This window comes from Homo sapiens, chromosome 5, assembly GCF_000001405.40.
Source record: "Homo sapiens chromosome 5, GRCh38.p14 Primary Assembly".
Lineage (NCBI taxonomy): Eukaryota > Metazoa > Chordata > Mammalia > Primates > Hominidae > Homo > Homo sapiens.
This window is the reverse complement of record NC_000005.10, coordinates 123,488,113-123,510,389: the sequence shown is the minus strand read 5'-3', so window position 1 is coordinate 123,510,389 and position 22,277 is coordinate 123,488,113.

Genomic DNA, 22,277 nt, shown 5'->3' with positions numbered 1-22,277 from the left:
CACTGCAGGGAAGACTTTTGGTTAAAATTTGGCCTATAAGCTCCTATAGATTAAAATTGGCAAAGCCTGGTGTAGTGGTGAATGCCTGTAGTCCCAGGAACTTGGGAGGCTTGAGGCAGGAGGATCTCCCAGTAGTCTAAGGCTAGCCTGGGCCACATAGTAGGATCTTTTCTCAAAACAAAAAAAAAAAAAAAAAAAGCAAGTAACCTAGGTAGGAGGCAATTAAATTTTCAGGTCATTCTATTAACTTATAAGAAAAATTGGTTTGGGAGGCCGAGGCAGGTGGTTCACCTGAAGTCAGGAGTTCAAGACCAGCCTGGCCAATGTGGCAAAACCGCATCTCTACTAAAAATACAAAAATTAGCCAGGTGTGGTGGTGTGCACCTGTAATCCCAGCTACTCTCGAGGCTGAGGCAGGAGAATCGCTTGAATCTGGGAGGCGGAGGTTGCAGTAAGTGGAGATAGCGCCACTCCACTCTAGCCTGGGCGACAGAGTGAGACTAAGTCTAAAAAAAAAAAAAAAAAGTATGTATATATATGAAAAATTGGCAATGTGAAAACAGCTTATATTAATGAAGGAAAAGCCAATACACAGGCATTGCAAGCAAAACTCTTTATCTTATAGCATGATGCTCCAACCTAAGCAGCCAGATTATACTTGTCAATCTGCTATATTACAAATCAAATAGTTTATTTGTTGTGTCACCTCACATTTCCTGGCATTGCCACTCTTCAGGTATTTATATTCTATTAATATTTTCATTATGATTATTGCATAAATTCATGTGATACTGTTGTCACAAGTTTTGTAGTACATTGGAAACTTGCATTTATCAAATTCTCTTTTCACAAAAGCTTTCTCTACATGTCCTGCAGATGCTTTGTGTGAGACAGAGAATGGTATGTAGAGTTTGTGGAATGTAAAGCTGGCCATTTTTTCTCCTTTGTAAGCAGTAAAACTTAAAGTTGAAGAAAGATGGAAATGAAACAGTTTGATTATGGTTTTAAGCAGGAAATTATGAGACTAAGATATTTACTAAGACTTTTCAAAATAAAAACAGATAAAACATTCATTTCCTTCTTTCAAATATTTTGTTTAACTGTAATGGTAAACCTGGCATGGTGATTAACTGGTTGCCAGAATAAGGCCTGAGGCATCACCAAATTATACTTAATTCTTTATTTTTTAACATTATTTTAAAGGAAAAGTACCTGGAAGAAAGATGTAATTAGGAAGAAGTAAACAATGAAGTAGAACGGGGAAGGATGCAAAATGGAGAACTGTAACAATAGCCAGGGGCTGGGAGTAGAGCAACATATTTTACTACGATGAAGAGGAAAATAATTTCTTCCCCCCGTCAAGCCTACAGTCAAGGGGAGAGACAAGAAGGATTGTGGGAGAAAGCCAGTCACATACAACAGCTAGATCAGGTTTTGGGGAAGCTATCGCTTAGCAACCTTTATTTTAGACTGTTACATGAGTACAGCTCGAAAAAGTCAAGACACTGTTTTATACCATCCTTAGAAGGATGATTTGAAGTATTTGGTAGGTGGTAAAATAAATGTACAATAATCACAAAACTTTTCTGAGAGGCTTTATTACATGTTATAATGTTGATCTTCAGAAATGTTTAATAAAATCACATTTCCAGGATTCCTTGTCTTAGCTCGGGTTGCCATAACAAAGTATTGCAGACTGAGTAGCTTAAGCAATACAAATTCATTTTCTCACAGTTCTGGAAGCTGGAAGTCTGAGATCAGGATGTCAGCATGGTCAAAGTCTGGTGAGATCTTTCTTCCTGACTTTCAGATTGGCACCTTCTCCCTGTGTCCTCACATGGCCTTTCCTCAATGTGTGGGCATGGAGAAAGAGGGTGATCTCTCTCTCTTCTTCATCTTAATCCTACAGAAGTCCCCACCTTTATGACCTCATCTAACCCTATTACCTGCCAAAGGCCCTACAAATTCCATCACATTTGGGGTTGGGGATTCAGCATATGAACTTTGGGGAGACAAAATTCAGTTCACAGCACTCCTCAAAGGGGTATTTTCCATGCAGAGAGTATATCATCTATAAATTAAAGGTAAAGGCTAGACAGGATATTAATAAGAGAAGACAACTTGTAGACCATGTTAAAACCTCATGGAGAAAAGAATACATTCTTAAGAGAGAGAACTTCCATGAAGAAAACGCTCCATAGGGAAAAGCTAAAACACCATAAAAATGTAAAAGTGTCTTGCCAAAAAGAGTGACTAAATCTCTAGCTAGGCAATTTAATTTTTGTTTTTTTCCATTAGCAGACCTGAATTTTGGCAGTTTTTATGTAAGTTTGGCTATCCAAAGAATGTTGTTTTGTGATAAATGGAAGTTAGCTAAAGCTGTGATTTTCTTGTAATGGTTTCAAGAACAGCTTGAATTCTGAGTAATATATCAATCTAAAGTTTGGAGATGGTCATAATAATTAGTCCCTGTTCCATTTTCCCTCTTCTTGTCTTCTTTTGCTCCCCATAGTTATATCTTCATATTTCTACCTCAAGAGTCCTTCCCGGCTCATGAGACAAATCTGAGCAAGACTAAATGTCTCATCAGCCCCCACCTATAGGAACCATGCAGCCCTCTGAAGATGTAGAATGCTAAGCAAGAGTACTGGATTAGAGGTAGACTTCAAGCTGTGCCACTTCCCTATATCCCTAATATTTTCCCAGTCTATAGCACTGGACTTCTCCTTTGCTTTTCTTTCATAATTGGAACTGTATCAATTCCTAAGCTCTCATCTAATGTGAAGGTTTAAGCTTGGTTTGGAAAATTTTTCACTAGTCCCTGTTCTGACTAGATCCTAGTTCATTGGACAGGATACTGTTATGATAGATTACCCTCAAGCTACTGAACTTCTTCAAACATCACCCACTGACTAAGCTTACTGGATTACTATATCCTTCTGCTGAATACGACTGCATTGGTGCCACAGCTTGTCTATGCCATCTCTGAACTTCATGTACTCTGTGGACAGTGAGCAAGGGCCTACCTGTGGGGATCAGCCTCTCTAATTATGTTTCTTTAGTCTCAGTCATGCTTGGTTATGCTTGGCCTTAACGTCATCCCTTTCTTCACCAGCTAGTACTGCTAAATTCCTGACATGTCTTCATCCTCCCACCTATGCTTATTGTGGTATCAATGCCATATCTGTCCGAACAAGATCACAGGGTCAACAGAAATTAAAATTGATGTGAGAGGACACTTTAGTTTAAATTCTCACTTCTGTTTAGTTCTCATTCTACTTCTGCTGTAATTAGGATTATACTACTTTTTGGCTTCCTTCTATATTCCTTCCTTATGCAAGCTTTTTAAATAGTCTACACCTCAGCTCATCTGTAAAATGAGGCAATAGTATCTGTACCATATTGATATCGGGAAGATTAAATGAATGATAATCTACAATGTACTTATCACAGTGTCTGACATATAGTAAGCAATAAATAAATGGTTGTTGTTAAATACCAGTATGACCCCTAGGAACCTGCGTTTTCCAGTCCAACATGAGCAGTAATCAGAAGTTGAAAATATCAGATCCCAAGTCGTTTCCTAGCTTTAAGAGCCTAAGACTTGGAACCAGATTGTGGTTCTGAAGCAAAACATTATTATTTGAATTTGCTTCAGGCCCTTTCATAATTTTATTTACCAAGTACTTATGGACATTCATGGTATATTGGCTGTCCAGCATCTATTTACCTTTTCCTAGTAGCACTCAGATTTCCCTTTGATGAATCTTTTTCTGTCTCACTCTGTTCAGTGATCAGAGGCTGTGCCTTCCTGTAGGTGTGGAGTAAGGGAGGAGGAGTAACGGGGAACATGTTGCTGAAACAATATCAATTGGATTCTCTCTCCCTAGATTTGAATTATTATTATTATTATTATTATTATTGAGACAGGGTCTCATTCTGTCACCCAGGCTGGAGTACACCTAGGTTTGAATTATGAGGTGAGGAACGTGAAGACTAAAAATGGTTGGAATGGGAGGGACTCCATCCCAAGAGTGGCAACCTGACCACACAGTTTCTGACACAGAATAATGGCTATGATCTTACTTGCCAGCCTCTGGAGCATTTTGGATTCTGCCTAGACCAGGTCTTCCAGCTTCCGTCAGTTCTGTGACTCCCCTAATTGCCTTTCACTAAATTCTGTTTGATTGCATTACCCAGAGTATATTTCTTTTGTTTGCAATTGAAGAATCCTGATCACCAGGTTTTCATTCTTAGCTTTTGGTTTTCCTCACCTCTTTCTCTCCCTCTCTTCTACAAAGTACTCTTTCTATTCATAATCTGGCTCTGTGCCCACGTGAACATTTAAATTCAAAGCTGTAGTTTGACCCTGTTTAACTTCTTTGGCTTCACCCTAACATAATCTTTGACTGTCTCACTGTTGTGAGGCTCTCTAGCTTCAGGTTTGTGTTCTCCTAATTGACAAAGCTAGCTACACCCTACCAAAGCTTTGTATCTCAGCGCAGCTGCCTTCTGTCACCAGGCAGCCCTACCTCAGCTTCTTGCTGAAACTCTGCCAGTTGCAGACCTAACCCTTTGTACTGTGACTTAATGCTTTGTGTTCTGCCAGCTTCGGTGACCTGATCTAACTGACAGCAAATTTCAACCAAATGCCAATGCTTGCTTTCTAGAACTGTTACTTTAGTATCTATTAGTGTATATCTGTCAATTTATATTCATAATAATAAAATCCAATATAGTCCTCTATCTCATTCCCTTTACAATACTATCTATGCTCCTCTGATATTGCTGATTCATATCAGCCAAGATAAATCAACTTGGTCTGTCTATAGTGAAAGAATTATGTGTTATAAAGTAACTATAGCAATTTGGGTACTCAGTGATGGGGTAACACTTGATTTTAAAAGCTGACTAATCAACTCAGTTCTGGTTTTCACATATTAAAGAGAATCCAGTTATGAAGTTTTTGAACTACAAACCAAAACAGCATTCCTCAGCTTTCCCCTACATGCCTTTAAATCAGACATTAATATCTCACTGGAAATCTGTCAGTGGCATTGAACAGGCTACTCTACAGAGTCACGATTAAGGTTACAAAAAAGAAGCTGAGTTTAGAATTCACTTCCACATATCAAAAAACCCCAATTGTAAATGATTAAGTGATAATAAATGTTAATTATTATTAAACTCAATAGAGTAAAATATTGTTCAAAGCAATAGAAAGAATATGTAGCACATATTAAGATTATGACTGGCCAGTAAAGGGAAAGAATGCTGATTTTATCCTGTACATATAAAATAATTTTTAAAAGATCATGATTCCAAATGACTTTAAAATGTTGTAACTTGTATATCTCTAGTGGGATTTATCATAAAGACAAAAAAATTACAAAAACTTGTTTGACTTTTTGGTAGTCATATTGTTGGTGCTCATACTCTTTTTTCTGATACTGTGATATGCGCGATGTGAGATAAAGCAAAATGAGTTACTATAATATATTGTAATTCTGTTATTCTTGACGTTGACATACATTAAAAGAATAACTAAACCGCCTTTAGTTGTAAATTTGAATTACAAGTATCATCATGAACTCACAGTATTTCGTACAGATATTTCCTAGTTCAGTTGACTGAAAAGTTCCAGAAGCAAGCCAAACTCAGTTGCAATGAGTATCTTTAGCCCTTACGCTTCAGACTTCATATAGCAGAGCCTTTGGAAGAGAGAAAAGTAGCATATGGTACTATATTCCTTTCCTATTGCTGCTATAACAAATTACCATAAATTTAATGGCTTGAAACAATAAAAATGTATTATCTTACAGGTCTTGAGGTCAGAAGTCCAAAATGGTTCTCACTGAACCAAAATCCAGGCATTAGCAGGGCTGTGTTCCTTCTGGAGGCTCTAGGAGAGAATTCATTTGCTTGTGTTTTCCAGCTTCTAGAGGTTTCCTACATTCCATTTCCGCCTTCAGAGCCAGTATCATACCACTTCAAATTCTGCTTCCATCATCACACCTCTGACTCTCACTGTTACTTCCCTCTTTCACTTAGAAGGAATCCTATTATTACATTGAGCCCACAAGGATAATCCAGGATAATCTCCCTGTCTCAAAATCCTTAATTTAATCTTAATGCAAAGTCCCTTGTGCCATTTGAGATAATATACTCATAGTTTCTGGGGATTAGGATGCGGACATCTTTGGGAGAAAGGACATATTTTGCCTACCACAAGCACCAAGTCAAATAGAAGGGTTTTAGGTTTTAAAAAGGGGTTGAATCTAACCACAGTTGCTGAGATAAGACTTAATACCTACAAATGCCACATCTGGCTCTTAGAATAATTTTATCATTATTGCCCACAGCCTCATGTAATGGCAAATTGGATGAAATAAAACTAACAACTAGTGAGTGCCCAACTGAAGACTTTCAGGCATTTTCTAGAAAACATTTCTTAATCACCATAGGTAGGTATCATTTTCTCTTTCTTTGTAAATGAGAAAAGTAAGACTCAGAGTTTAAGCAAAGTGTTCAGGTCATTCAGCTAGTAAATGACAGAGGTACAATTTCTATACAGGTATTTCTGACTCCAAAGTCCATGTATTTACCCTGCTTTTCATGATGTGGAATAAGGGGTGAGTTAGGAGATCCTGGGACACACTATCAGACTTAGGGTTGACTTATTATAATACAGTGTCTCCAGATTGAACCTGTTTAGACAAAGGAATAAAGGAAAGAGAGAAGGAGGAGGAAAGAAAGGATAGAGAGATCCTAAAGTAGTGATTTATGCCAAACTGAATTAGAGCAACTGTAAGTATGTATATGGGAGAGCAATGAAAAGAGACAGGCTGAAGGAAAGCCTTTTTAAAGCACAACTTCAAAGATGATAGCATTCACAGGAAACAGCACCAGTCAGAGAATTACTGTGGTGTGTACTCAGAATACTCTTTAATCAACTCTTATTGCAAAATGTCAGGTCCCAAAGAATGACAGATTCTTTAAGCTAAATAACCAATATTTACTTGTGTACAACTGGCTCACTTACATAAGTGATCCTTTCAGCCACATATCTACACAAATGATTATTAATAATTATTTTTAGTAAACATTCTCCAACCTTTAGCTGCTTACAACTCTAGGTTCTCTTTTCAGCTACTTTATCCTTGAAGATTCAGTAGGAAGTTGCATTGTTTGAAATTAGACAGTGTCTGTTCTAACATGTCCTGGTTAGGATTAGCTTTGATAAAAAGGTTGTGAGTCTAATTAATGGGTCTGCCATTAATTGGCAAGAGGTATTTAAGAATGTAACTTTAAACTGCCCTGTCAAATAATACTGAAAACATTTGAAAAAAATATTTTGGGGGAATTTTCTAAAAAATATGCAGCCTTTCTACTTCTATGGATATCTCAAATTTATGCTTTGATTTAGATACATCTGGCCCACATGATTTTGTATCTCCTCCACTGCCCCAACAAACACCTTGCATAGAACTTGCTTACCAAAATGTGGATTTCTGTTATGGATAACTTTTTTTTTTTTTTTGAGACAGAGTTTTGTATTTGTTGCCCAGGCTGGAGTTCAATGGCACAATTTTGGCTCACTGCAACCTCTGCCTCCCAGATTCAAGCAATCCTCCTGCCTCAGCCTCATGTGCATGTGCCACCACGCCTCCTGCATGTGCCACCACTCCTGAGTAATTTTTGTATTTTTAGTAGAGACGGGGTGTCGCCATGTTGGTCAGGCTTGTCTTGAAGTCCTGACCTGAGGTGATCCACCTGCCTCGGCCTCCCAATGTGCTGGGATTACAGGCGTGAGCCACTGTGCCCGGCCCTGTTATGGATAACTAAGTGATTACATTGTGGGACAATATAAGAAACTGTCCTATGAGACTCATTATAGCAATTACTGTAGGAATATTTTTAAGGGTGATATTTACTCCATCACACCATATCTTCGATGTGAGAACCCAAAGAACAAGTTTATTTTAAGTTACAATACCAGGAAGAATTATGTTTCTTTTATACAGCTGGTTTGTTTTAATCTTACGGGTGCCATAAATCATTTAACATTTCTATTTCCTTATGGTGCTGATTGCTAGGAAACCCAGAGCCAACTTTGTAGTCTATCTCAACGTATTCCATGTATCTTAAAACATGCATTTTAGTTAAGCAACTCTGGTGGTATAATCTTGTCTTGTATACTACTCCCTTTCATTTTTATCTTGTGCTATGTGTATTTTTGTAAACTGTCTTGATTTCTTTAAAGCACAGTATAGAAAATATGTTGGGGAAGTTCAGTTTATCTTTGTCTACTTAGGCACGTTGCATGAAAATTATTGGGTCTCTTTTTCCCCTCCAAATTTGGAGAGTATCTTTGGGTTAGTCTGGCCTAAATGTGACACTCCTGAATTTCACACCAAGGGTTATGGAGGGGCACCTCAAGGAGAAACACATTTGTCTCCTAGAGAGGCCAAAACTGAGATGCAAGAAGGTCAATATGACTTCTAATCAGGAGAAATACACTATTAAATTAAGTGTTTGGGTCAGAGAAAACAAGCAAATATAAGCTTAAACTCAAAAGAAGCAAGGACAGGCAAGTAATGGCACATGAAGCTGCTTTTTACGTGGACACTCGCTATATGTATTTTGCTCCAAAATATACAATATTCCTGTAATAGCATGAACTTGTGTGTTTAACCATAGCTAATGAATCTCCTGAGCAACATCCCCTGAATGGTCACTAGTAATTGAAAAAGAATTACAAGTGTAAGATAACTATCAACTCATTACACATTGAAAAAAATATAATAATAGCAATGCTACCATTGAACATTTATGGAGTGTCTACGATATATACCAGGCACTGTGGAAGTACTTTGCCTGCTTTCTCTCGTTTAATTTTCAGAGTCCCAGTAAGTTGGCATTTTTGTAAGTCCATTTTACAAATGAGAAATGTAAAGGAAAGCCACTAGAGGATTCAAGTAGAAGCTTGAAAGAATCTAATTTACATCTAAAGAAGACTCTGGCTGCTATGAAGAGATTTGACTCTAAGGGTAGCCAGTTTGGAGGCTGTTACTAGCACAACATGCTGACTAGGACCAGAATGGGATAATGGGATAATGGAATTGCTGAGAGGTTTTAGACTCATAATATATTTTAATTAACATGTGTGAGTGTAGGTGGGTGTGTATGTATGTGGTACACCATGTTTTTTCTCAAAGCCAATAAACTAAGTGAAAGTTATCAAATGTCAGTGAAGTTCTCCTGTCATTCTGCTCCATGCTGAGGGTGAAGCTAGGGCCTTTTTTCTGGTGATGTGATGCTACCAACTAGACCACCTTCCAATAAAGGGGTGTGATTTTGTTGTGGAAAGAGAGGAAGAAACTGCCAGCTTCCTTCTTCTGTTCCCTTTTGGTGAGTGCCGTGTCATTTCTCCTTTGAGCAGATTGTCATACCCACTGTGTCAGGGAACTTATGGGAAGAGATGTTAGGAAGTCAGAAACTTGGAAATATATTAAGGTCCCAAGACTTCTTAGTTATTTCTTGGCTTTTCCCTTCTATAAGCTTTCCCTCACTTTATACAGAGCTTTTATATGTAAATAAGAGCGATGGGGCTTCTAACAGCCAGGAAAATCTGAGGTAAAACTATGAGAATCAGCTTAAATCCTTGCCAGGTCTCAACCCCAAGGTACGTGACTAAAATGAATTTTTTGTAGATTACTAAATCCATGCTCCCCAAAACAAATTGTATTTCGAAATGACCTAGCATGACATAGACATTTCACTCCCACCAGAGTTCTAATTCTTGCCCTATTTTTCTTGCCTCAAACATATTTTCCTCCTTTATGATCTCCTTATTGTGTTCTCAGTAATATGGGTTTCCCATATGTCTTTCCACTGTCTGCGAGTAGATTATATGTTTTCTGGATTCTCTAATGTGGCATGAGGCTGCTACCATACTATTGGGCTAGCCTGAACCAGGATTCAAGATGGCATGTGGCAGTCATAAAGGGCGTCACTGTAAGTTTTTAGCTAGCTACATTTTAAATGTGTGCGTATATATAATATGCATTTAGATAATATATAATGTGTATATAATATACTTATATGTATGTATGTGTATATGATATACTTATATGTATGTGTATATAATATACTTATATGTATGTATATGTATATAATATACTTATATGTATGTATATGTATATATTAGAAAATAGGTAGTTGTTGTGCTGTGGGTATATTTGTTTTATACGTTATGCCTCCACCAGCTTCACCCATAACACACACACACACACACACACACACACACACAGTTTTAGTGACATTGATTCTACATTACTTCATGTGGGCAAAGTCAACTACTTTAACCTCCAAAAATCTGAACCACATGCTTTTCAGAGTGAGGTTTTGTTGCTCTCTGGGGAAGTACATAGATTTTTTTCACCTTTAATTCCATGTCCTTTTACAAACAGTAGATTCCTAGATCACTGTGAAGCCCATCCTGAAGAGCCTCACATGCCCTCAGATTGGATTATGATGACTGGCTTGGTAAAGTTACTGGAAATAAAGAACAGGAAACAAAAAGTACCTTTGCCTTTGGAAGATAGTCAGATCTAAATGTTCTGAAATTAACTCCACTTTAATTCTGCTTCCAGAACCCGAGCTAATTCCAACTCACCCTTTGGTCAAATCATCTACATCAGGGGTCCAAAGGACGGACCTACACTGGAATAAAGTCCCTAGGATAATTTCCCCCTGACTTTTTTACTCACTTTTCTTACTGTCCCTCCCCAAGGTATCCAATTATCTAGAAGAAAATATATTGCTAAGGTGACCCTTGGGCAGAGTTACTTAGCTTTTTAAATATCTTCAAAGTAAGGAGTAGAAGCAGCTTCCCACAATTACTAACTTCTAAACATCACTTTTCCCTATCTTATCTTTCAGTTCTTACAATATTTTTGTTTTTTTAAAAATCCCTTCATTAAATCACCTGTGTTGGAAATACCTAAAGTAGTTTCTATTTTCCTGATTGGGCACTGGCCTGTAGAGATCTGAACTAGCACCTGAGAAGAATGCCACTCCTTGGAGCTGAACTGATAATACAAAACTGGCTCACTCTCTCTCTCTCTTTTTTCTTAATTGGTAGCATTATCTTTGGCACAATTCCTAGTCTTTCCTTTGATATTCCAGTTTCTCCTACTGGGCAGTTTGCTACTTACACACCTGGTTCTGTTGTTTGGTTCCCTGGTTGATTAGAACCATATTACCCATTGTTGGAGCGGCAGCTCATGCTCTACACTCTCCTCGAACTTCGATTTCCTAACTAATTGCATTAGTCCATTCTTACATTGCTATAAAGAAATACCTGAGACTGGGTAATTTATAATGAAAAGGGGTTTAATTGGCTCGTGGTTCCACAGGCTGTACAGGAGTCATAGCAGCTTCTGCTCAGCTTCTGGGGAGTCCTCAGGAAACTTTGAATTATGGCAGAAGGCACAGTGGGAGCAGGCATGTCTTACATGGCCAGAGCAGGAGCAAGAGAGAGAGAGAGGGGAGGTGCCACACACTTCTAAACAATCAGATCTCATGAGAACTCACTATCGTGATGATAGCACCAAGGGGGAATGGTATTGAGAAACTGCCCTCATGATCCAATCACCTCCCACTAGGCCCCACCTCTGGCACTGGGGATTACAATTCTGCATGAGATTTGGGCAGGGACACAGATCCAGACCATATCACCAATTAGGCTGTATATCAAACTTAGTGCATTTTTCCTTCTGAAACATTACATAGTAGAAGAAACATTACATTTTTTCCCTCTGATAAATTACAAAGAAGTTAGAGACAGAAGACCTAAGTTTATTTATCAGCTCCACCATTGGTGTGTAACTTTGGACAAGATAACAAATCCATTTGAGCCTCAGTTACCAAACTTGTAAAATAATAATAAAACTTGCTTTATAGGATTATTGTAAACATCAAACGACATCAACCATGTTGAGGGCTTTGTGAACTACACAAGACTATGTGCAATTTATTGTACTTTTCTAAGTCATAGCTTATTATCAGACAGATTTTCTGCATACAATTCCTCTAACAGCAGTCTATGATTATTATGAAAAGCTTGTTATTTTAAAGAAGGTAAGAGACCTCCCTCAGTTTATCTTCTCAAAATCACAAATTTAAGAAGCCACTTACTCTACCAATATGTGAGTACCCAGGGGTACGCTGGTAAATGTATAACAACCAGCTCTTGGTAGAATATGCTAATTTGCATGGTGTAAATATTTCCACCATGCCCAATTTCAATCCACCAATGTGACATCAACTACCTTGCAAAATTCCTCATTATTTAACAATTGGCTGTCTAGCACACCGCTGTTTTAATCAGCCTTGTTACCATAACAAGACTCGTTCTTGGTGTTAACATAGGTTCTAGAAAAAAAAATTCTGGATATTGGCGTTACTCAAGATTAGCTTTCGGCCAGGCACAGTGGCTCACTCCTGTAATCCCAGCACTTTGGGAGGCCAAGTGGGTTGGATCACCTGAGATCAGGAGTCTGAGACCAGCCTAGCCAACTGGTGAAACCCCGTCTCTACTAAAAATACAAAAATTAGCTGGGCCTAGTGGCATGTGCCTATAATAGCAGCTACTTGGGAGGCTGAGGCAGGAGAATCACTTGAACCACGGAGGAGGAGGTTGCAGTGAGCCGAGATCGTGCCGCCGAACTCCAGCCTGGAAAACAGAATGAGACTCCATCTCAAAAAAAAAAAAAAAGAAATTAGCTTTCAACCTGGAGACTGTCAGAGTGAAAAAAATTAGCTTTTTTTTTCTTGACTCCTTATCAGTTAGGGTTGATAGAATGCTTATTTCTATAATAATGTCCTTTTTCACTGCAAAAATCTTGAACATGAAGCCCTTCTTTTATTTTCCTTACTAGTAAAATTGCACTCTGATGATAAGGATATGATTTAATTTTAACTTAATTAACTCTCAAGAGTTTAAAGGCTGTAAAGTATGTTTTGGAAAGATTAACATGTAATATAATGACTACTCAAAGTGAAAATAATAATAGAATTTACATAGTACTAACTACAGAATATCTAATATTAACATGTATTTTTAAAATATTAACTAAGGTCTCCGCATCTTGGATATTGAAGTATACTTTTGCATTTGCTTTGTATTTCATTGGCTGACAGTTCTCTTATGGTCAATGTAACAAGATGATCACCATGGAGAGACTGCATTGGCAACGCGCCTGTGCTCCAACTGCACACATGCTTCTAAGAATTGATCTGGTTTCCACTGACTCTTAGAGGTAGGAGTGCTGGGAGATTTCCAGCTGACTCAGACCATTTCCAATTGAAGGGTTTTTAGGTGTGTAATTTCTGGCCTGCTGTGGGTTTGAATTAATTCCACTGCATTTTTATACATTATTATGTTATTGCTGTTGTTGTGATAGGTTCCTTCTGCCACCCTAGACCTACTCCAGATCGGAATTAAATCCTTAAATAGGCAGGGTGTGGTGGCTCACAGCTGTAATCTGAACACTTTGGAAGGCTGAGTTGGAAGGATCACTTCAGGATAGAAGTTCAAGACAAGCCTGGGCAAAAAAGCAAGACCCCATCTGTACAAAAAAAATTTTTTTAATTATTTGGGCATGGTGGTGTGTGCCTGTAATCCCAGGTACTCAGTAGGCTGAGGCGAGAGGATCACTTGAGCCCAGGAGGTCGAGGCTGCAATGAGCTGTGTTCTTGCCACTGCAGTTCAGCCTGTGTGACTGATCGCGACCCTGTCTCAAAAAAAAAAAAAAAAAATCCTTATATAAGTTTCTATAGACTAGGGATAAGCAAGATCAGAACCTCAGAACTAATCCCAAATGGAAATCCTGTTACCACATCATGGCAAAAAACCATACTGACACACCCAGCCATTTGGCACACTCTCGGACACAAGTTTATCATATCTGTGGTCTGAGTAGCTCTATGTATTCATCTTCTGGAGAAAAAAAAGAATGTTAGGACAAATTGAGATTTTACTCTGTCCTCTCTCAGCTTTCTTCCAATCCATGCTAAGGACAACAGAAGATAAGGTATCTTGTAAAGCATCATACAACAAACTTACATTTGAAAATTGCTATGGAATGCTGCTGAAAATGTGCTGCAAGAAACACTGGATAGGTGACTTTTCAGTATACCTTGAAATGATATTTATATGTCTTACAATGAGCTTAATTATTATCTAAAAAGGAAAAAGCTTGGGCTGGGTGTGGTGGCTCATGCCTGTAATCCCAGCACTTTGGGAGGCCGAGGCAGGAGATTCGTTAGAGTTCAGGAGTTCAAGACTAGCCTGGGCAACATGGTAAAATCAGTCCCTACAAAAAAATACAAAAATTAGCCAGACATGGTGTTTAGCATCTGTAGTCCCTGCTCCTCGGGAGGCTGAGGTGGGAAGATTGCCTGAGCTTGGGAGTTTAAGGCTGCAGTAAGCCATGATCACACCACCGCACTCTAGCCTGAGCAACAGAGTGAGACATTGTCTCAAAAAAAGAGAACATAAAATAAAAGGTGGCAATTTGAGGACTTAATGTCTCAATGGATTACATCATGACTTGTTTCAGCACAAAAATGGAAAATAGCCATTGCATTTGGCTATGCTGTTCTTATATTTATCTTTATTTAAAATTATATTTTCTTGAGAACACAAAATTTGAATATCATGAGAGTCCTCCTTATAAACTAAAAGTATTTGAATAAACTTGAACTTATCCATAAATTTTTCTTTCAAAAACACCATTAAATATTGCCAGTGATTGGTGTTAGAAATAGCCAGTTTCCAAATAGTATATTAAATCTCTGTCAGAGGCACTAAGAAATATTTTTGGAAGGGCATGAATTCCTCTAAAGCTTAGGTGTAGTAATGAGTCACACAATTTTTTTTTCTTTCTTTTTTCTTTTTCTTTTTTTTTTTTGAGATGGAGTCTCACTCTGCCACCCAGACTGGTGGAGTATAGTGGCGCAATCTTGACTCACTGGAACCTCCACCTCCCAGGTTCAAGTGATTCTCCTCACTCAGCCTCCTGAGTAGCTGGAACTACAGGTGCGTGCCACCACACTTGGCTAATTTTTGTATTTTTAGTACAGACAGGGTTTCACCATGTTGGCTAAGCTGGTCTTGAACTGCTGACCTCAGGTGGTCCACCCACCTCGGCCTCTCAAAGTGCTGGGATTACAGACATGAGCTACCAAGATCGGCCACAGAATTTTTTAACTACCTAGAGGAATCCCTTGTGGATGGATCATCTATATACAATTATTTCAAATTATTTTATTCTGCCCATGTTTTCAGCTTCTGAAATTAAACTAATGAGGTCTATAAGTATGCAACCAACTTGTTTTTAATTGTCCTAAATTTACCAACTTCAAGTACCAAGCTGATTTTGACTTTTCAGTTGAAACTTTTTTTTTTTTTTTGAGATGGAGTCTTGCTCTGTCGCCCAGTCTGGAGTGCAGTGGTGCTATCTCGGCTCACTGCAACCTCCGCCTCCCGGGTTCAAGTGATTCTCCTGCCTCAGCCTCCCTAGTAGCTGGGACTACAGGCTCATGCCACCACATCAGCTAATTTTTTGTATTTTTAATAGAGATGGGGTTTCACTGTGTTAGCCAGAATGTCTCGATCTCCTGACCTCATGATATGCCCGCCTCGGCCTCCCAAAATGCTGGAATTACAGGCGTGAGCCCCACGCCCAGCCTCTATTGAAACTTTTATTGAGATAACTATGGATTCACATGCAACTGTAAGAAATAATACAGAGTTATAGATTCCTTGTACACTATTCCCAGTTTATCCAAATAACATTTTGCTAAACTTAAGTATATCATAACCAGGATATTAACATTAATAAAATTGGCCCATTTTATTCAGATTTCCCAGTTATAATTTAACTCATTTTTGTGTATGTGTGTGTATAAGCACCATACAATTTTATTACCTGTGCAGATTCATATATCCACTGCCAATTATATAATCCTAATTGGATTATTTAGTTTTTTACTATTGAGCTTTGAGAGTTCTTTATATATTCTTGATACCAGTCATTTGTCAGATACGTGGTTTGCAAATATCTTCTCCCAGTCTCTACCTTGTCTTCTCCTTCTCTTAACAGGGTCTTTCTTGGAGCAAAAGGTATTTATTTTGATGAAATCCAATTTATCAGTTTTTCCTTGTATGGATTGTGCTTTTGTGTCAAGTTTAAGCACACTTTGTCTGGCTCTAGATTCCTCCTATGCTTTTTTTCTATTAACACAAGTTTTATAGTTTTACATCTTATATTTAAGTCTATGATCCATTTAAAGTTAATTTCTCTATAGGTATTCTCCAGCACCCTTTGCTGAAAAGTCTATCATTCCTCCTTTGAATAGATATTGCCCCTTTGTCAAAATTAGTTGAGCATATCTGTGTGTGTGTTTTTCTGGGTTATCTATTCTAATACATTGACCTGTGTGTTTATCCCTATGCCAATATCACATTCTTGATTACTGTACCTACATAGTAGATCTTGATATCAGGTAGAGCAGCTTTTCCCACCTTACTATTTTTTGTCATTTTTTTAAAGCTATTATAAGGCCTGTGCCTTTCCATATAAATTCTAAAATAAACTTTTCTATGTCTTCACAGATTCTTGCTGTGGTAGAGATTTCATTAAACCTATAGATAAATTTGGAGAGAGTTGGCATCCTTACTCAGTGGAGTCTCCCAATCTATAAATATGGTTGTGTCTCCATTTATTTATTTATTTATATTCTTCATTAGCATTTTCTAATTTTCATCAAACAGATTCTGTACATGTTTTCTTTAGTGTGTTTCTAAGCATTTAATTTTCTTTGGAGCAACTGTAAACTGGTATTATGTTTTAAAATTTGGTTTCGGCATGTTTATTGTTAGTACACATAAGATGATTGATATTTATGTGTTGATCTTGTACCCTGTAATCTTTCTGAGCTCCCGTACAAGTTCTATAAGTTTGTGGGAGGTTTTTGTTTTTGTTTTTGCTTTGGAGATGTCATGGTATTTTATGTATAGACAATTATGTAATTGGCCCGTAGAGATAACTTTATTTTTCCCTTACAAATGGTATGCCTTTTATTCATTTTTCTTACCTTTTTCCAGTCATTAGAACTTCTAGTACTATGTTGATTAAGAGTGATGGGAGTGTACACCTTTGCCTTGTTCCTGTTAAGTATGATGTTAATTGTAGGATTTTTTTATAGATGGTCATTACCAAGTTGTAGTAATTCACCTCTATTACTAATTTTCTAAGAGTTTTATCATAAACAGGTGTTGGATTTTGTCAAGTACTTTTTCTTTTTCTTTTTTTATTTTTTAATTTTATTTTATTTTGTTTTATTTTTGAGATGGAGTCTTGCTGTGACGCCAGGCTGGAGTGCAGTGGTGTGATCTCGGATCACTGCAACCTCCACTTCCTGGATTCAAGCAATTCTCCTGCCTTAGCCTTCTGAGTAGCTGTGACTACAGGCGTGCGCCATCACGCCCAGCTAATTTTTGTACTTTTAGTAGAGACGGGGTTTCACCATGTTAGCCAGGATGGTCTCAATCTCTTGACCTCGTGATCTACCCGTCTTGGCCTCCCAAAGTGCTGGAATTACAGGCGTGAGCTACCGCACCTGGTCTCCTTTTCTGCATCAATTGATATGACCCTATGGTTTTTCTTCTTCTTTAGCTTATTGATATGATAGATTACATCATTTGATTTTTAAATATTTAACCAGTTTTGCATACCTGGAAAAAAAATCCCACTTGGTCATGGTGCATAATTTTTAATACATTATAGAAATTGGCTTGCTAATATATATTAGCAAGCCTATATATATATATATATATTTTTTTTTTTTTTTTTTTTTTTTTAACAGACAGGAGTCTTGCTATATTGCTTAGGCTGACCTCAAACTGCTGGGCTCAAAGGATTTTCCTGCCTTAGCTTCTCAAGTAGCTGGGACTATAGGCATGTGCCACCACACCCAATTAGTTTAGTACTATTTTGTTGAGGATATTTGTATCTATATTCATGAAAGATATTGATCTGTAGTTTTTGTTTTTTGGGTTTTGTTTGCTTTATGGTGCTGCCTTTGCTTGGTTTTGCTATTAGGGAAATACTGGCGTTATAAAATAAGTTTGGAAGTGTCCTTGTCTCTTCTATGTTCAGGAAGAGATTGTGTAAAATTAGCATTAATTCTTCTTAAGAAGAGATGCCACTACTGGTTTCTACCTATTCCCACCTCCATCTGCTGCTCTGATGTCTCTGGATTGGGGAGGAGGGTCTCAGGCTTGTGGAGACAAAGAAGATTCCTAGATCCAGCTGCTGGGTCTCTCCTGCTAGTTCTCCCTGTCTGCTTTGGTATCTCTCAATGGAAAGGGGAGACTCTGGCTCAGGAAAGGAGTGTATCTCCTCCAGTCACTTATTTCCAGTTAGTTTTCCAACCCATCCCCTTTGCTGGTGTTGTCAGACTCAACTGATTTTGTCACTGGGACTCCAGTGTGGTCCAGGGAAATGAATGAGCCTGTCTAGTTTGCCTCCTATTGCTAGGTCGGCTTTCAACCTAGGTCTGGGTGGCCTTTCACTGTTGAGTATGGGCATATAAGATACCGTCACTGTGCTATTCCTACAGTCTTGGGGTCCCACACCATCTTGTCTTCTGCTGACTACATTTTAGAGTTCTCCTTTGGTTATTTTTTTTTTGTACTGTTTCCAGGGATTATAGTTGTGCTTAGTGGAGAGAAGCAGAAAAAACAGGTCCAAACCATCTTTTCCAAATTGGAAATGACCTTTACTTTCAATCATAGATGCCCAAGTACTCACTCAGCTCTAAAAGGTCTTGAGTTGCTTGAATTCTCCATAAATGAACAAGGCCTTAATATGAAGATGAGGAAGAGGAAAAGACACAGCCATACATCATTGGAACTGATTCAATCTAGTACAGCACAAATCACAAAGAGAAAAAAGCAAGCCAACATCATGAAACCGGGAACAACATATTTTTCTTTGTAATAGACACTGGCTAGCTTGTATTTTCTTGATATTTACCTCTCTGCTTCACGTTTTTAATGTAAAGCAAAGTTTTTCATCCAATATTTTAATATGTGGATTGTGGAAAATTTGTAAAACTTGGGAGCAGTTGTATTATTTGAGAAGTTAGCTCAAACTGTTGCGCAAACACAAAACATTTTATCGTTCATCAGCCGTACATTAAATGAAACATCAGGGTGGAGATAAGCAGTAACATGTGTTTGTTCCTTATTTTACCTTATCTTCCCTCTTTCCTTTTTAATCATCAGTTGTAGAAAAGATATATTAGTTCCTTAAGAAGTATTACAGGGATATATTTTTCTATCTTGAAACTATTCCAGTTTTATACCCTCATTATTGATCAATTTTACCTGTAAAAGTCAAAAAGATGCTATTTATTGAAACTGCTTATTTAAATTACATTTAATAGGCCAATATTTATCATTTGAGGTTCTTTTTTTTTTTTTTTTTTTTTTTTTTTTTTTTGAGATGGAATTTCGCTCTTGTTGCCCAGGCTGGAGTGCAATGACATGGTCTCAGCTCACTGCAACCTCCACCTCCCCGGTTCAAACGATCCTCCTGCCTCAGCCTCGCAAGTAGCTTGGATTACAGGTGCATGCCACCATGCCCGGCTAATTTTTGTAGTTTTAGTAGAGACAGGGTTTCACCATGTTGGCCAGGCTGGTCTTGAACTCCTGACCTCAGGTGATCCACCCTCCTCAGCTTCCCAAAGTGCTGGGATTACAGGCATGAGCCATTGCGCCCGGTCCATTTGAGGTTCTTAGAGAGAGCAGTACATCCTTTGGCAGAGATGGATTGCATTGAAATAATAGGGAACTTCTGAGGATGAGCCACGTACTTCTGTGCTCATATTTTGCAAAGAATGCCATAGTAGAGGGAAATTACCTTAATCAACTGTGCCTACTTATATTATGCAAGTAATTCTTATAAAATGATACCCAATTCAGTGTGATGCTAGTGTAAGAAATATGCATATTAAACTTTCTAACTTAGGTAGAATCATAACAATATACCAGGTATTCTTCCCAAAATTATTAAGGAGCAAATCTAAACTATTACAAAAGCCAACTGCATTTGAAGTAACATTTACTGATGAGTATTACTATCCTTAAAAAAAAAAAAAAACTTATTATAGCAACTGTACTTTAGCTCCAGAAATAGCACTCTCCCACTCAGAAAATACTAGCAGCAACAGAAGTTCAACTGAAAGTCTTGGAAAAAAGCTTCCATGTTATGAAAGATCTGCAGATTTTTTTGAGCTACATTAAATTTACTTAAATAAGACATATTGGAAATTGGGCTTTACTTACTAGACTATTTTTTGAATTATAGAAGAATGTTTATATTTTTGAATGATATTAGGAGGAACTCTAACAGTTGTTGGAATTTTGTGAAAAAGTAAAAAGCACAGTGAAAACCTATCTAACATTGACTACATACTATTTGTTGGTTCTAAAGAAATGGTTAGACTGCCTTATTAACTGTAGTCATAGTAATATACTCAAGTAACCTAACATGATAGTCAATATTTATATATTCAAGAATTAACTTTTAAAGTTCTAGGTAACCTAAGCTAAAAGAACCCAGTCTCTTCTGCTTACACTTTTCCAATAATATCCAACAAATCATTAGAAACAAGCTAGTCCATAGTTTGTGAACTCCTTAGGAGCAGGGATCCACTGTTACGTATCTTCATAGCCCTAGAACTTAGCACCATAGTTTATACAAAATGGCACAGTGAGGGTTCACTAGACAGTGGTTAAATTAATTTTTAAAAAGAACTAAAAGATAAATGTTACTCAACCTAACATTTATATGCCATACACTGATAGGCCATAAGCCCCACAAAAGCCCAGTGAGATTCAACGCATTGATTAGCAATGTTTTGGTTGCAAACAACAGAAAACCTAAATAAAAACCTAGCTCAAATAATAAAGGGAATTTATTGGCTCATATAACTAAAAAGTCCAGTAATATGTGAGGCTTTAGATACAATTTCAACACTGTTTTGGCTAAATTTCTCTTCTGTTCTCAGCTTTGCCCTCATTCATGTGTCTAATTCAATTTCAGCTGGCTTCCTTCATGGCAGCAAAATAGCTACAGTCATTTCAGGACTCACATCAGCACATCTCATCCTTCCCAGGGATAGAGAGTGCCTCTTAAAGTAGATGTCTTAGAAGATTCAGCATGTACCCCAGATGCCCTTGTGAAATGTCTCTCTAAGCATTAATTTAAATTGGATTACATGCTAATGGAATGAAATGATTTGCTTGAACCCATCAAAGCCAACTCTTAGACTTGGGTTGGGCTTAATCCCTCCCAAACTGCCACTAGCTGGGAACCCTGGGATTCTCTTAGGAAAAAAGACAAGAGAGCTAAGTGCTGTGTAGGCAATCAGCATATGTCCACATATTCTTAGCTCCAGTTGGGCTCAGAGAGTTTAACGATTGAGAGTGGTTTAAATCTAGATCCTGACTCTAAAGCTTGTGTTCTCTCCACTTTAAATTGTATCAAGTGTTTGGAGAAACTACCAGATAGTATAAAACATTATCCTTGTTCTAACTTCAGAAAACTAAAACTAAAACTCCTATCCTAAGGAAAAAGTGTGGTTTAAATAGAATATCTTCTCTTTCCCACCCCTTCCCTATAACCATTGTTCCCAGTATCCTTACTTCCACTTTCCCTAACCCACTGGAATTCTTCCCATCTTTCCTACCCTAGCCCACTGCTCTCATACTTCCAGGACTGTGGTGCATGATCCAAGATGATCTCCTTTTAATTCTCAATGAACTCCTATCCCTTTAGGTGTTTGATTAAACAATTCATCGTTAATAATAACATAATGCACTACCATTCCCAGGGATATTTGCAACTTTTATCATGACACTTGTTGGATACAACCCCACACACTCCTTGCCCCTAAGCGTATCTCCCGTAGGAATTTGAAGGGAAGGAGACAGTAACAGATGAGTGAGAATTTTGTTGCAGACAAATCTTCCCCAAACCTCTGAAATCAAACTCTGAAAGTGATTGTTCCCATTGAGTTTTTCCATAAATGAAGTACCTTGGCTTGCCAAATTGTCTTTTTACAAGAGCATTGTCTTTCCTAGAGTATTTCCATTAGCTAATCCTTCTCTTTTCCCACTCCCATACATTTTCAAGCTG